Raw genomic sequence first — 14,352 nt, 5'->3', positions numbered from 1 at the left:
AGCAATAAGAATCAACCCCATCAAAAAGTGGGCAAAGGATATGAACAGACACTTCTCAAAAGAAGACATTTATGCAGCCAACAGACACATGAAAAAATGCTCATCGTCACTGGCCATCAGAGAAATGCAAATCAAAACCACAATGATATACCATCTCACACCAGTTAGAATGGCGATCATTAAAAAGTCAGGAAACAACAGGTGCTGGAGAGGATGTGGAGAAATAGGAACACTTTTACACTGTTGGTGGGACTGTAGACTAGTTCAACCATTGTGGAAGTCAGCTTGGTGATTCCTCAGGGATCTAGAACTAGAAATACCATTTGACCCAGCCATCCCATTACTGGGTATATACCCAAAGGATTATAAATCATGCTGCTATAAAGACACATGCACACGTATGTTTACTGCGGCATTATTCACAATAGCAAAGACTTGAAACCAACCCGAATGTCCAACAATGATAGACTGGATTAAGAAAATGTGGCATATATACACCATGAAATACTATGCAGCCATAAAAAATGATGAGTTCATGTCCTTTGTAGGGTCATGGATGAAACTGGAAACCATCATTCTCAGCAAACTATGGCAGGGACAAAAAACCAAACACCGCATGTTCTCACTTATAGGTGGGAACTGAACAATGAGAACACTTGGACACAGGAAGGGGAACATCACATACCGGGGCCTATTGTGGGGTGGGGGGATGGGGGAGGGACAGCATTAGGAGGATGCCTAATGTAAATGATGAGTTAATGGGTGCAGCACAACAACATGGCACATGTATACATATGTAACAAACCTGCATGTTGTGCACATGTACCCTAGAACTTAAAGTATAATAAAAAAAATTAAACTCATGAACCAATTCTAAAAAAAAATAAAAAAATAAATGCAGGTTTATCTGACTCCAAAAAAAAAAAAAGAAGAATAGCTTCCAGGTAGATGAAATGACTTTCTATAATAACATTAAATTCATAATACATTATTGAAATAATTATGAAATAATTATTTTCATTTGTCAATGTGTGTCTGTTTTCCTCATAGCATTTATGCAGCAGAAGCATTAAGATTCACAGTGAAACTAGCAAATAAATGACAGGAAAACATTGACACATTTCCTAATAGATTTTGTATATAAATAACTTTAATTTTATTTTGAGAGTGGCTGGGTATATGGATTTAAACACAGAATTAAGCTCCAGAGTCATTTTATAAAGAGAAGCTTTTAAAGTAACAGATGTCAAAGAGTCTCTAAAGATGCAAGTTTTCAATATTTGCCAATTTCTATTGTTGTGGGTTTTCACGGGCAAATAATACACCATGGTCCTTAAGATTTTTCCATTTTACATAATATCACATAAGCAACATAATGGGTTAGTTTTTGGCAATTTTTGTATAAATGAGGTTTGGATTTTTTTATTAGCCCACATATTTCTTTTTAAATGAATATCGTCTCCCAGTCTCACAAAGAGTATGCCTCCTTAACATGTTATTTTTCTGGCCTTGATGAAATTTTTTTAAGCTGGCAAAATTGAAAATTATATTTGGAACAAATACGTTCATTCTAAAAGTCTGAAACAAAAATAACACACCACCTCTTTTTTCTCCTTTAATCTCCCCATGATTCTTCTGCCTTAAATGTTTAAATTAATTACTTAATTATATTTTACATGCTTATAAATTTTATAATATTTTGCCTTTAGTTTCTCAATTCCTTATCTTGTTGTTTTTAATCAATTGATTGCATGAAACCAAGAGAGAAATGCACTATTTGCATGTGAGAAATAAGAAGCAATTTTGATTTTAATGGTGTTTTAAATCTCCCTTATTTATATGGTAGTCTCCCCATCCATCTTTAATGGTAGAGAAAATGATTTGGCCATCAGAGATATTTCATTGTTCTAGTAAAAGACATGTTTAGGTTATGATAATTAAACTTGTGTTAAACAATAAAATGAAAAATATATGCAATTGAGATTTGGAAGCAGTTGGCGATTTGTAGCAGGCTATCCTTTGTGAACACTCTGAATTTAAGGAGCTAAGGTTTAAACATAAAGAAAAATGACAAGAGAATAATCCTCAAAATATTTCATTCTCAGTGAAATAGGTATGTGAGGAAATAAAAAAACAACATGAAGGTTATATGTATGCTTCTGATGTCCTTGACATTTTGCCAAATACCAAGAGGATAAATAATATTAGAACAAATGGTGTTCTTGTTTTCAGAGTTTTAGCAATATGATTGAAGCAGTAACGCAACTTGAAAGTTGGGGCTAACGTTTTAAAATACAAATATTTTTTCCAAATGAACTCTCAATTCACAGGATCTATCTAATAGGACTATCACTTTAGGGATAGTTTCCCTCTGATCTTAAGTCACCAAACATTGCCTTAGGTTTCTTTAGCCCTAAAAAAGTATAGTTTCAGAAGTAGAGCATGGAACACTCAGTAAAACTTTGTTGCCTAGATCTTAGTCCTGTGGCTACATCTAATAACAGAAGAGGCTGGGAAATAGAATCTCGATGTGTGAACAGGAAAAAGATAAGAGCCTGGAGTTTGGTAATCACTAGCAGTCTCTAATATGGAAGAAATATTGTTGCTTTTTTCTTCTTTTTAAAAGCATATTTACTTACAAAATTAACAGAAACATATATTCTCTTCAGAAAAAAATTAAAACATTACAAATGAAAGTTAAATTCTCTTTGATCACTACCACATTTTCTTGTAGCCCTCCCCCAGGCATAATTGCAATAAGAAGTTTATTGTCAATTCTTGCAGATTACTTTCTCTTTAATAAGAGAGAAGCAATCATTCTGGGAAACTACGTCAAGGAATGGAGGAAGTAGCCTGTGTAAAAAACAGCAATTACATAGTTCTTACTATGCTACCCACTCTTCTAAGAGCTTGGTGCATAATAAATCCTCTAATCATAACAACAAATCCGTGAAGTAGTTATTGTTATTACCACCTTTACTTTACAGATGAAGAAACTGAGGCACAGGAAGGTTAATATGTTGCTTAAGCTCCCAGAATTAATACTGAAATTGCTTTTGCAAATATTGTGAAAGTGAGAAAAACCTGACATAGGAAAATTGTGACAGTAAAAGAAATGTGACCTAACTGATTCTCTTGCTTCTAACTCTCAAGCTGCCTTTGTTCATTCCTGGGCATAGGCAAAGCTAATTTTGGGAGGAATTTAGTTTATGTTTAACTTTGAAACAAAGATGATAACGGCCTCTTCTCAAAACAAACCTCCTCCTTTTTGGGGGACCAGACCACCTTTGTAAAATGAACAAATTAGTCACAGATTAGAAATTATGGCTCAGGAGCCACGTAGCCAGATGCCACAAGATTCCTCACCTCCCCAGTTGCTCCTATGGATACATCATTATTGTAAATCCTAAGACTGGTGTTCGAGGTATTTTTCAGACCCTGTGTTGTGTTGGATCTGCTGGTGCCACCCAGCCCAGTGAACTGGCTCATTTGGTCTTGTGGTCCCCATCTAGGAGCTGACTCTGAAAGAGGACAGCTTCAACTCCCTATGATTTCACCCCCAACCCAACCAATCAGCACTCCCCATTCTGTAGCCTTCTGCCTGCCAAACTGTCCTCAAAAAATCCCTAGCCTCTGAATTTTCAGAGGGGCTGATTTGAGTGAGTAATAATAAACTCCTGTCCTTCTGCTTAGTTGGCTCTGCATTTATTAAACCCTTTCTCCATTGCAAAAACCTGTTCTCAGTACGGTGGCTTTTCAGGGCAGCAGGCGATATGAACCCTTGGGTGATTACACTGTTCTGTGGATCTGAAATGGTAATGTATGCCATTTCTCTCCAGAGTCTGTGTGCCCTCCACCACCTCTGACAGAAATGATGCAGGATGTGCTTCATTCATGACAAACCTGTGAAGACCAGAATCACCCTCCCATTGTCAAGAAATAGAAAACTCTATGATTTCATATAGAAAACTCATGTGAAACTCTATGATTTCACAAAACTCTATGATTTCACAATAGAAAACTCAATGATTTCACAAAATGTGGAATCATTGTTTTAAGACAAGGAACAACAGGCAGTGCAGGCCTATGATCCCTAAGAGAAGGGCAACAAATGAGTCAGGTGTTGGGGCTGCTCTAGCTACTGGAGGCAATTTTTATACTGTGACACAGAGAAAAAGGACTCAAACAGAGCCTACTGTGATCATGAGTTTTATGAGACACGGATCAGAGTTTAGGGAGGTTGAGACAGGTAGAATTGGTGAGGAAAAGTACCAAGAGGACAAAGCTGCCAACAGAAAAGTTTCCAGAAATCTGCAAATGTGTAGAGTCAAAAAGTAGTTCTAGGAAATGACCAAGTACTATTGACCTCTAAAGAGAAAACTGCCTAGTGCTCTCACAGGAGCAAGAATCATGGCCGTTTCCAGCAGACAGAGTTGACAGACACTTTTGGATACGTGGGGCTTTCCGTGTAGACCTTCTGAATGGCCAGGCTTATTGGGACCAAACAGGCCAAAAAGAACACCAAAGACCTGCCCTTTAAAATATTTTAAAAAAAAAAGATTCTCAGAGAAAATAGATATCAATATGTTATATATAAACCCAATGATAAGAGATCTTACATTAAACATAGATTGAATAAATATTCCCTTTATGAGAGTAAAGAAATAAGCTTCCAAAAGATAAAAAATCTGTAAGCCACTTTACAATCCACCAGTGCAGAGTCCAAAACTCTTTAAAATAATAAATAAAAGCAAGCACTCAGTAGCATAAAGTTTGCAAAGTCGAGCATACAATCCTGAAATTACTAGACTTGCAAAATGGAGGAAAATGTGATCCATAATAACAAGAAAACACTCAATCTCTCTAAAGAAATAGAGAGGCCAGGCACGGTGGCTCATGCCTGTAATCCCAGCACTTTGGGAGGCTGAAGCAGGCAGATCACGAGGTCAGGAGTTCAAGGCCAGCCTGGCCAACATAGTGAAACCCTATCTTTACTAAAAATAAAAATAAAAACAAATTAGTTGGGCGTGGTGGCTGGCACCTGTAGTCCCAGCTACTTGGGAGGCTGAGGCAGGAGAATCGCTTGAACCCGAGAGATAGAGGTTGCAGTGAGCTGAGATCATGCCACTGCACTCCAGCCTGGGCAACACAGGAGACTGCCTCAAAAAAAAAAAAAAAAAGAAATAGAGAAGTGATGTAGATAATGTAATTAGTAAATAAGAACATTAAAACAGATTTTATAAATATACTCAATATGCTTAAAGACTTATAGGAAAAATCAGTGAGAAGAGGAATGAAAAATACAAAAAAGGAACACTGAGTTAAAAATCAGTACATAAAATAAAAATTTCACTGGACAAAATTAACAGCTAATGAAATACTGTAGGAAAGAAAGATTATTCAACTTGAAGACATAGCAATAGAAACTATCCAAAATGAAGAAGATAGGGGAAGATAAAGACTGAAAATAAATTAACAGAGACTCCAACTTTCTGGAAAAATAGTAATCTAATATAAATTTAATTTGAATTCCAGAAAGAAGAGATAGGTAAAATTATTTGAGGAAATAATAATTTCCAAATTTGATGAAAATTGTAAATCAAAGGGATGCAAAAACTCACTAATTTCAAGCACGATAAAGACAAATTAAAAAATACCAAGGTATATCAAAATCAATTTGTTGAATGCAAATAATAAAGAAAAATCTTTAAGGCAGCCAGAATACAGCGACAGATTACTATAGAAGGGTAAATATAAGCATAAGGGTAAATTTCCCATCAGAAACTATGCAAGACAGAAAACAAGGGAGGTGACTTTTAAAAATACTGGGGGAAAAACTCTGTCCATTTAGATATACACAGCTAAAATACCTTACAACAATTAAGGAGAAATGGACTTTTTTTTTCACAGAAATTTTGCAGAAGAATAATAGCAAAGAGAATTTGCATCTTTACTGCAAAAAATGTTAAAGCAAATTTCTGTCTCAGAATGAGAGACCAGATAGAAATTTGGATTTCTAAAAAAGAAATATAGAGCTCCAAAAATAGTTAAAATAAAGTTGGATAGAAAAGGCATTTCTTATTATTGTTATCTGCTCCTACAGATAGATGACTATCAAAAGCAAAAATAGCAGCCATGCATTTTGGGGTTTCAGCCTACATAAAAGTAAAATTTATACCCACCGTAACACAAAATGCAAGTTAAAACCACATGGTGACAATATTTCGCACCCACTTGAATGGCTAAAGTAAAAAATACTAATTTAAGAATCAAGCAAAGATGACAAGATGTACAGGATTACCTGTATAGGATTATGTGGGTATGTTCCATAAGACTTACTTCCAACTCCCAAAGACAGCTGTGGTAGGTTGTGTGTTGCCACTTACTCTTAGAATAACCTGGGGAAATTTTCATACTAAGCCTCCAGTTCCTTGTCAATAGAATGAGGATAACATAAACTTTCGTGCCTAGCACACAATAAGTACTTAATACACTTTATCAACTGAGAAAATTTACATTATAAATTCTTGTGAAAATATATTTATTATTAATTCTTCCCTTATTTTTCTGGCGGCAAAACCAGTCTTACAACCTCTGAACTGAGTCAAGAATGTGTTCTATTAGAGAAGAAGCAAATCTGATTTCTTTCACATACAAACTTGTGAAATTTGAGGTTCATAATAATCAAATGCATGTTTTGAGAATCAGAAACATGACTTCAAGGTCAGTTGATTGATTCAACTTTTGAACTCCAGCATTACATTCTACAAAGATTTACAATGGTTTTAGCATTATATTTTAGTATTTATTTATTTATTAAACAAGTTAAGAATTGATAATTAACCATTCTAAAAAGAAGATATATACATAATATTCAGTGGACAAAATTTAAAGATACCCATGAGGCTCTAGGTGGTAAAATATGAAATGCAAATGTGAGAATATTTTTGTTTTTTAATATTATTGAGGCATAATTGATATAGAAAAATTGCACGTGTTTATGCTTTTTGATGAGCTTGAACATATGCATGTTTGTTTTGTTTTATTTTGTTTTAAATTTGGTCACAAGGTATACAATGGACTCTTTATTATCTGAAGCTTCAGGGAGGAAGCGGCAGTCAGATATTGCGGAGTGAAATGTGCACCTCCACAAAGGAGCAAGGCTCCTTCACAACCAATCCTAACTTTTCACTGCTAAGCGTCAGCCTAATATATCATTTATAAAGGCTCATGATAGACTTTTTGTAGCTACAAAGGGCTACATTTGGTCAAAGCCTTCTGGAACTTCTATTAAGTTTCCAGATGTTTTGGCAATAGCTTTCAAAAAAAGACAGTTTTTGCTAACCATAACTTAATTTTACTAGTCTAGGCATTGGGATGAACTAGTATTCAACTCTTCTAAGCTGTTTCCCCTGTTCTATAAGGTATGAGTGCACTGTCTCTTTCTCTGCCAGGTTTTGCATTTGATGGTTTCCAGGAACTGCTAAGAGTGAGATCATCCCTGAAGCAGTGACTGCCAGAGGAAGGCGAGAGACATATGGTGGCCTTACAGGTATTCTTTCCAAATCTATATTAAGAGATTACACAGAAAATGTCTGCATCTAAATATATGTCTCATGAAATAAAGTTCATGAACCTTTTTTATTTCCTCTTATGACCTATGATTGGGATTTTGTCTGAATATCAATAGTGCCAAAAATAAATATAGAACTGTTAAGATCTCACTGCATTATCCATTATTATAAGGAAATTGTAGTAAAGACATTATGAGTATAGAGACAAAAAAGTAGAACTTATAGGATTAAAAATAATGGATATTTTACAGTATTTCATGAGACCAAGAGACAGAGCGTGAAGAGTTCATGCAGTCTGTGGGGCTGAGTATCTTTCACTTCTGTTCTTCTTGCACTTTACCTATTATTCTCTTAACCCTGCATACACTGCCTTCTTGTTGAAAAAAAGTCATGATAGAGGACAATCAGAAGTTCTATTGTTTAGAAAGTAAATGAGGAAAATGTGAAAGTTAGGTATGTGAGATTAAATGTGGCCAGCATGATATAGTAGAAGCAAAAAAAAAAAAAAAAAAAAAAAAACCTACAGTACAAGGCAAAACTCCTGGTTTCTAACTGTAAGTGTACACTTAAAAATGTTGACATTTAGTTTGCGTTGATTTTCCCCTACAAAGTAGGAATGATATGTAACAGCTTTGAAGCCCACATCATAGGGATTTTGTAAATGACAAATCACATGTTTGTAAATCTATTTTGAAAAGATGAGATATGTATTTCTACAGAGAAATCTTAAGTCTTCTGGAGAGTAAATGTTTAAAAAATCTTCTAAAAATCTGTGCCTTTATTACCTCTTTGTGAATGATTCTACCCTCCATCCAATCACTTAAGCCAAAAATATGGGAATCCAGCACCAACTTTTAAAATCCAGTTTAGTGGTACTTTGACAGCGCCTACACTGAGACTCTGAGAGACCAACATAACGAGTTAGGCAACATTGTCTTCCTTAAAGATTCTCAAGGTATTCTGGACCTACCAGCTTTTTACATTTTGTATCTTATTCATTGACACGAATGGTAAAACACAAGCTGAGCCCATTCCATAACGTGTTTGGGACGAAAAGTCTAATGAAAAATAATTTGAACATGGTCCACTATGAATTTCAGAGTTGTTTGATAGATGATGGGGAGGGGGACAGTGAAAGTTGAATTGAAGAGATAAATAAGAGGATCTGTAAAATAAATCATGATAAATAAGTTAGAATTTGTGCAATGTGTGCTATACTGAGAGGCAAGGCCAGAGGGTGTCAAAGAATCATGGTCACATTTATAATGTGAAATGTGCTCAACATATTCCTTGCTTGATTGACCTTTTCACTTCTTACAGAAGGCAGAGTGTAGACTGAGTAGAACAATAGTGTTCAATGATGCTGATAAAAAATGACAGTAAAAGATAGAAGCTTTGGTTTAATTGATATGCCCTCACCTTTGATTCTTAAAAGGAAAATTACCATGTTGCAGTCAATTTACATGTTTAATTGCCATATGCACTCTTATTGAACCTCTGGGTTTGAGTAAGGTATATTTGGGAATAGTATTTAATGAGTCAGCACAGAGGTTATGAAGCATTCAGATTTGAAATATTATCATAAATGTCACACATTTGTACTTATTGGCAATTGAGGATGAGAATTCAGCAATTACACTTAAGTATCTCTTATACTTGTTCTTGATTTTATCTTTACTACCATTTCTGTAGTTTAGACACTTTTCTCAAATTTTTTTTCAAAAAACTTATAACTGATAAAACATTCTTCAATCTTATCCATTCCAAACCATCCTTAACTCTGCTTCCAGAATTGTCTTTAAAACTTGAAAGTCTGGAGGAAGTTCCAAGATGGCCAAATAGGAACAGCTCCAATCTATAGCTCCTAGCATGAGTGATGCAGAAGACAGATGATTTCTGTATTTCCAACTGAGATACTGGGTTCATCTCACTGGGGCTTGTTGGACAGTGGGTGCAGCCCACAGAGCAGGGCGGGGCATCACCTCACCCAAGAAGTGCAAGTGGTGGGGGAATTCCCTTTCCTAGTCAAGGGAAGCTGTGACAGATGGTACCTGGAAAATTGGTACACTCCCACCCTAATACTGCACTTTTCCAATTGTCTTAGCAAACAGCACACCAGGAAATTATATCCTGCGCATGGCTCGGAGGGTCCCACACCCACAGAGCCTCACTCACTGCTAGCACAGCAGTCTGAGATCGAACTGCAAGGTGGCAGCCAGGCTGGGGGAGGGGCGCCTACCATTGCTGAGGCTTGAGTAGGTAAACAAAGTGGCCAGGAAGCTCGAACTGGGTGGAGCCCACCGCAGCTCAAAGAGCCCTGCCTGCCTCTGTAGACTCCATCTCTGGGGGCAGGGCACACCTGAACAAAAGGCAGCACAAACTTCTGCAGACTTAAACATCCCTGTCTGACAGCTTTGAAGAGAGTAGCGGTTCTCCCAGCACAGAGTTTGAGATCTGAGAACGGACAGACTGCCTCCTTAAGTGGGTCCCTGACCCCTGAGTAGCCTAACTGGGAGAAACCTCCCAGTAGGGGCCTACCGGCACCTCATACAGCCAGATGACCCTCTGAAACGAAGCTTCCAGAGGAAGGATCAGGCAGCAACATTTGCCATTCTGCAATATTTGCTGTTCTGCAGCCTCCCCTGGTGATACCCAGGCAAAACAGGGGATGGAGTGGACCTCCGGCAAACTCCAACAGACCTGCAGCTGAGGGTCCTGACTGTCAGAAGGAAAACTATCAAACAGAAAGGACATCCACACTAAAACCCCATCTGTATGTCTCCATCATCAAAGATCAAAGGTAGATAAAACCACAAAGATGGGGAGAAACCAGAGCAGAAAAGCTGAAAATCCAAAAATCAGAGCGCCTCTTCTCCTCCAGAGGAACACAACTCCTCGCCAGCAATGGAACAAAGCTGGATGGAGAATGACTTTGACAAGTTGAGAGAAGAAGGCTTCAGATGATTGGTAATAACAACCTTCTCCGAGCTAAAGGAGGATGTTTGAACCCATCACAAAGAAGCTAAAAACCTTGAAAAAAGGTTGGACGAATAGCTAACTAGAATAAAAGCATAGAGAAGACCTTAAATGACCTGATGGAGCTGAAAACCATGGCACGAGAACTACGTGACGCATGCACAAGCTTCAGCAACCAATTCGATCAAGTGGAAGAAAGGGTATCAGTGATTGAAGATCAAATGAATGAAATGAAGTGAGAAGAGAAGTTTAGAGAAAAAAGAGTAAAAAGAAACGAGCAAAGCCTCCAAGAAATATGGGACTATGTGAAAAGACCAAATCTATGTCTGATTGGTGTACCTGAAAGTGTTGGGGAGAAAGGAACCAAGCTGGAAAACACTCTTCAGGATATTATCCAGGAGAACTTCCCCAACCTAGCAAGGAAGGCCAACATTCAAATTCAGGAAACACAGAGAACACCACAAAGATACTCCTCGAGAACAGCAACTCCAAGACACATAATTGTCAGATTCACCAAGGTTGAAATGAAGGAAAAAATATTAAGGGCAGCCAGAGAGAAAGTCGGGTTACCCACAAAGGGAAGCCCATCAGATTAACAGCGGATCTCTTGGCAGAAACTCTACAAACCAGGAGAGAGTGGGGGCAAATATTCAATATTCTTAAAGAAACGAATTTTTCAACCCAAAATTTCATATCCAGACAAACTAAGCTTCATAATTGAAGGAGAAATAAAATACTTTACAGACAAGCAAATGCTGAGAGATTTTGTCACCACCAGGCCTGCCTTACAAGAGCTCCTGAAGGAAGCAGTAAACATGGAAAGGAACAACCGGTACCAGCCACTGCAAAAACATGCCAAATTGTAAAGACCATCAATGCTAGGAAGAAACTGCATCAACTAACGAGCAAAATAACCAGCTAACATCATAATGACAGGGTCAAATTCACACATAACAGTATTAACCTTAAATGTAAATGGGCTAAATGCTCCAATTAAAAGACACAGACTGGCAGATTGGATCAAGAGTCAAGACCCATCAGTGTGCTGTATTCAGGAGACCCATCTCATGTGCAGAGACACACATAGGCTCAAAATAAAGGGATGGAGGAAGATCTACCAAGCAAATAGAAAACAACAAAAAAAGCAGAGGTTGCAGTCCTAGTCTCTGATAAAACAGACTTTAAACCAACAAAGATCAAAAGAGACAAAGAAGGCCATTACATAATGGTAAAGGGATCAATTCAACAAGAAGAGCTAACTATCCTAAATATATATGCACCCAATACAGGAGCACCCAGATTCATAAAGCAAGTCCTTAGAGACCTACAGAGACTTAGACTCCCACACAATAATAATGGGAGACTTTAACACCCCACTGTCAACATTAGACAGATCAATGAGACAGAAAGTTAACAAGGATATCCAGGAATTGAACTCAGCTCTGCATCAAGCAGACCTAATAGACATCTACAGAACTCTCCACCCCAAATCAACAGAACATACATTTTTCTCAGCATCACATCACACTTATTCCAAAATTGACCACATAGTTGGAAGTGAAGCATTCTTCAGCAAATGTAAAAGAACAGAAATTATAACAAACTGTCTCTCAGACCACAGTGTAATCAAACTAGAACTCAGGATTAAGAAACTCACTCAAAACTGCTCAAGTACATGGAAACTGAACAACCTCCTCCTGAATGACTACTGGGTACATAACAAAATGAAGGCAGAAATAAAGATGTTCTTTGAAATCAATGAGAAAAAAGACACAACATACCAGAGTCTCTGGGACACATTTAAAGCAGTGTGTAGAGGGAAATTTATAGCACTAAATGCCCACAAGAGAAAGCAGGAAAGATCTAAAATTGACACCCTAACATCACAATTAAAAGAACTAGACAAGCAAGAGCAAACACATTCAAAAGCTAGCAGAAAGCAAGAAATAACTAAGATCAGAGCAGAACTGAAAGAGATATAGACACAAAAAACCCTTCAAAAAATCAATGAATCCAGGAGCTGGTTTTTTGAAAAGATCAACAAAATTGATAGACCGCTACCAAGACTAATAAAGAAGAAAAGAGAGAAGAATCAAATAGATGCATTAAAAAATGATAAAGGGGATATCACCACTGATCCCACAGAAATACAAACTACCATCAGAGAATACTATAAACACCTCTATGCAAATAAACTAGAAAATCTAGAAGAAATGGATAAATTCCTGGACACATACACCCTCCCAAGACTAAACCAGGAAGAAGTTGAATCTCTGAATAGACCAATAACAGGCTCTGAAATTGAGTCAATAATTAATAGCCTACCAACCAAAAAAGTCCAGGACCAGACGCATTCGCAGCCGAATTCTACCAGAGATACAAAGAGGAGCTGGTACCATTCCTTCTGAAACTATTCTGATCAATAGAAAAAGAGGGAATCTTCCCTCACTCATTTTATGAGGCCAGCATCATCCTGATACCAAAGCCTGGCAGAGACACAACCAAAAAAGAGAATTTTAGACCAATATCCCTGATGAACATCGAGGCAAACATCCTCAATAAAATACTGGCAAACAGAATCCAGCAGCACATCAAAAAGCTTATCCACAACGATCAAGTTGACTTCATCCCTGGGATGCAAGGCTGGATCAATATATGCAAATCAATAAACGTAATCCATCATATAAACAGAACCAAAGACAAAACCACATTATTATCTCAATAGATGTAGAAAAGGCCTTTGACAAAATTCAACAGCCCTTTATGCTAAAAACTCTCAATAAACTAGGTATTAATGGGACATATCTCAAAATAATAAGAGCTATTTATGACAAACCCACAGCCAACAATATACTGAATAGGCAAAAACCGGAACCATTCCCTTTGAAAACTTGCACAAGACAGGGATGCTGTCTCTCACCACTTCTATTCAACATAATGTTGGAAGTTCTGGCCAGGGCAATTAAGCAGGAGAAAGAAATAAAGGGTATTCAGTTAGGAAAAGAGGAAGTCGAATTGTCCCTGTTTGCAGATGACATGATTGTATATTTAGAAAACCCCATCATCTCAGCCCAAAATCTCCTTAAGCTGGTCAGCAACTTCAGCAGTCTCAGGATACAAAATCAATGTGCAAAAATCACAAGCATTCCTGTACAGCAATAACAGACAAACAGAGAGCCAAAACATGAGTAAATTCCCCTTCACAATTGCTTTAAAGAGAATAAAATACCTATGAATCCAACTTACAAGGCATGTGAAGGACCTCTTCAAGGAGAACTACCAACCACTGCTCAACGAAATAAAAGAGGACACAAACAAATGGAAGAACATTCCATGCTCAAGGATAGGAAGAATCAATATTGTGAAAATGGCCATACTGCCCAAGGTAATTTACAGATTCAATGCCATCCTCATGAAGCTACCAATGACTTTCTTCACAGAATTGGGAAAAAACTAAAGTTCATATGGAACCAAAAAAGAGCCCGCACAGCCAAGACAATCCTAAGCCAAAAGAACAAAGCTGGAGGCATCATGCTACCTGACTTCAAACTATACTGCAAGGCTACAGTAACCAAAACAGCATGGTACTGGTACCAAAACAGAGATATAGACCAATGGCATAGAACAGAGCCCTCAGAAGTAATACCACACATCTATAACCATCTGATCTTTGACAAACCTGACAAAAACAAGAAGTGGAGAAAGGATTCCCTATTTAATAAATGGTGCTGGGAAAACTGGCTAGCCATATGTAGAAAGCTGAAACTGGATCACTTCCTTACACCTTATACAAAAATTAATT

At 37.2% G+C, this 14,352-nt stretch overlaps 1 long non-coding RNA gene across 1 annotated transcript in view; it reads left to right on the top strand.

Moving 5' to 3' along the window:
• LOC105377509 (uncharacterized) overlaps positions 1-14,352 on the top strand; it is a 227,163-nt gene that overhangs the window by 93,429 nt on the left and 119,382 nt on the right. The window contains exon 3 of the long non-coding RNA XR_007058347.1: positions 7,455-7,552. This is a non-coding gene — a long non-coding RNA (uncharacterized LOC105377509). The remainder of the gene's footprint in view (positions 1-7,454; positions 7,553-14,352) is intronic.

This window comes from Homo sapiens, chromosome 4 (assembly GCF_000001405.40).
Source record: "Homo sapiens chromosome 4, GRCh38.p14 Primary Assembly".
NCBI classification, from domain to species: domain Eukaryota; kingdom Metazoa; phylum Chordata; class Mammalia; order Primates; family Hominidae; genus Homo; species Homo sapiens.
The sequence above is the reverse complement of the archived record's forward strand: the minus strand, read 5'-3'. Positions and strand labels throughout refer to the sequence as shown.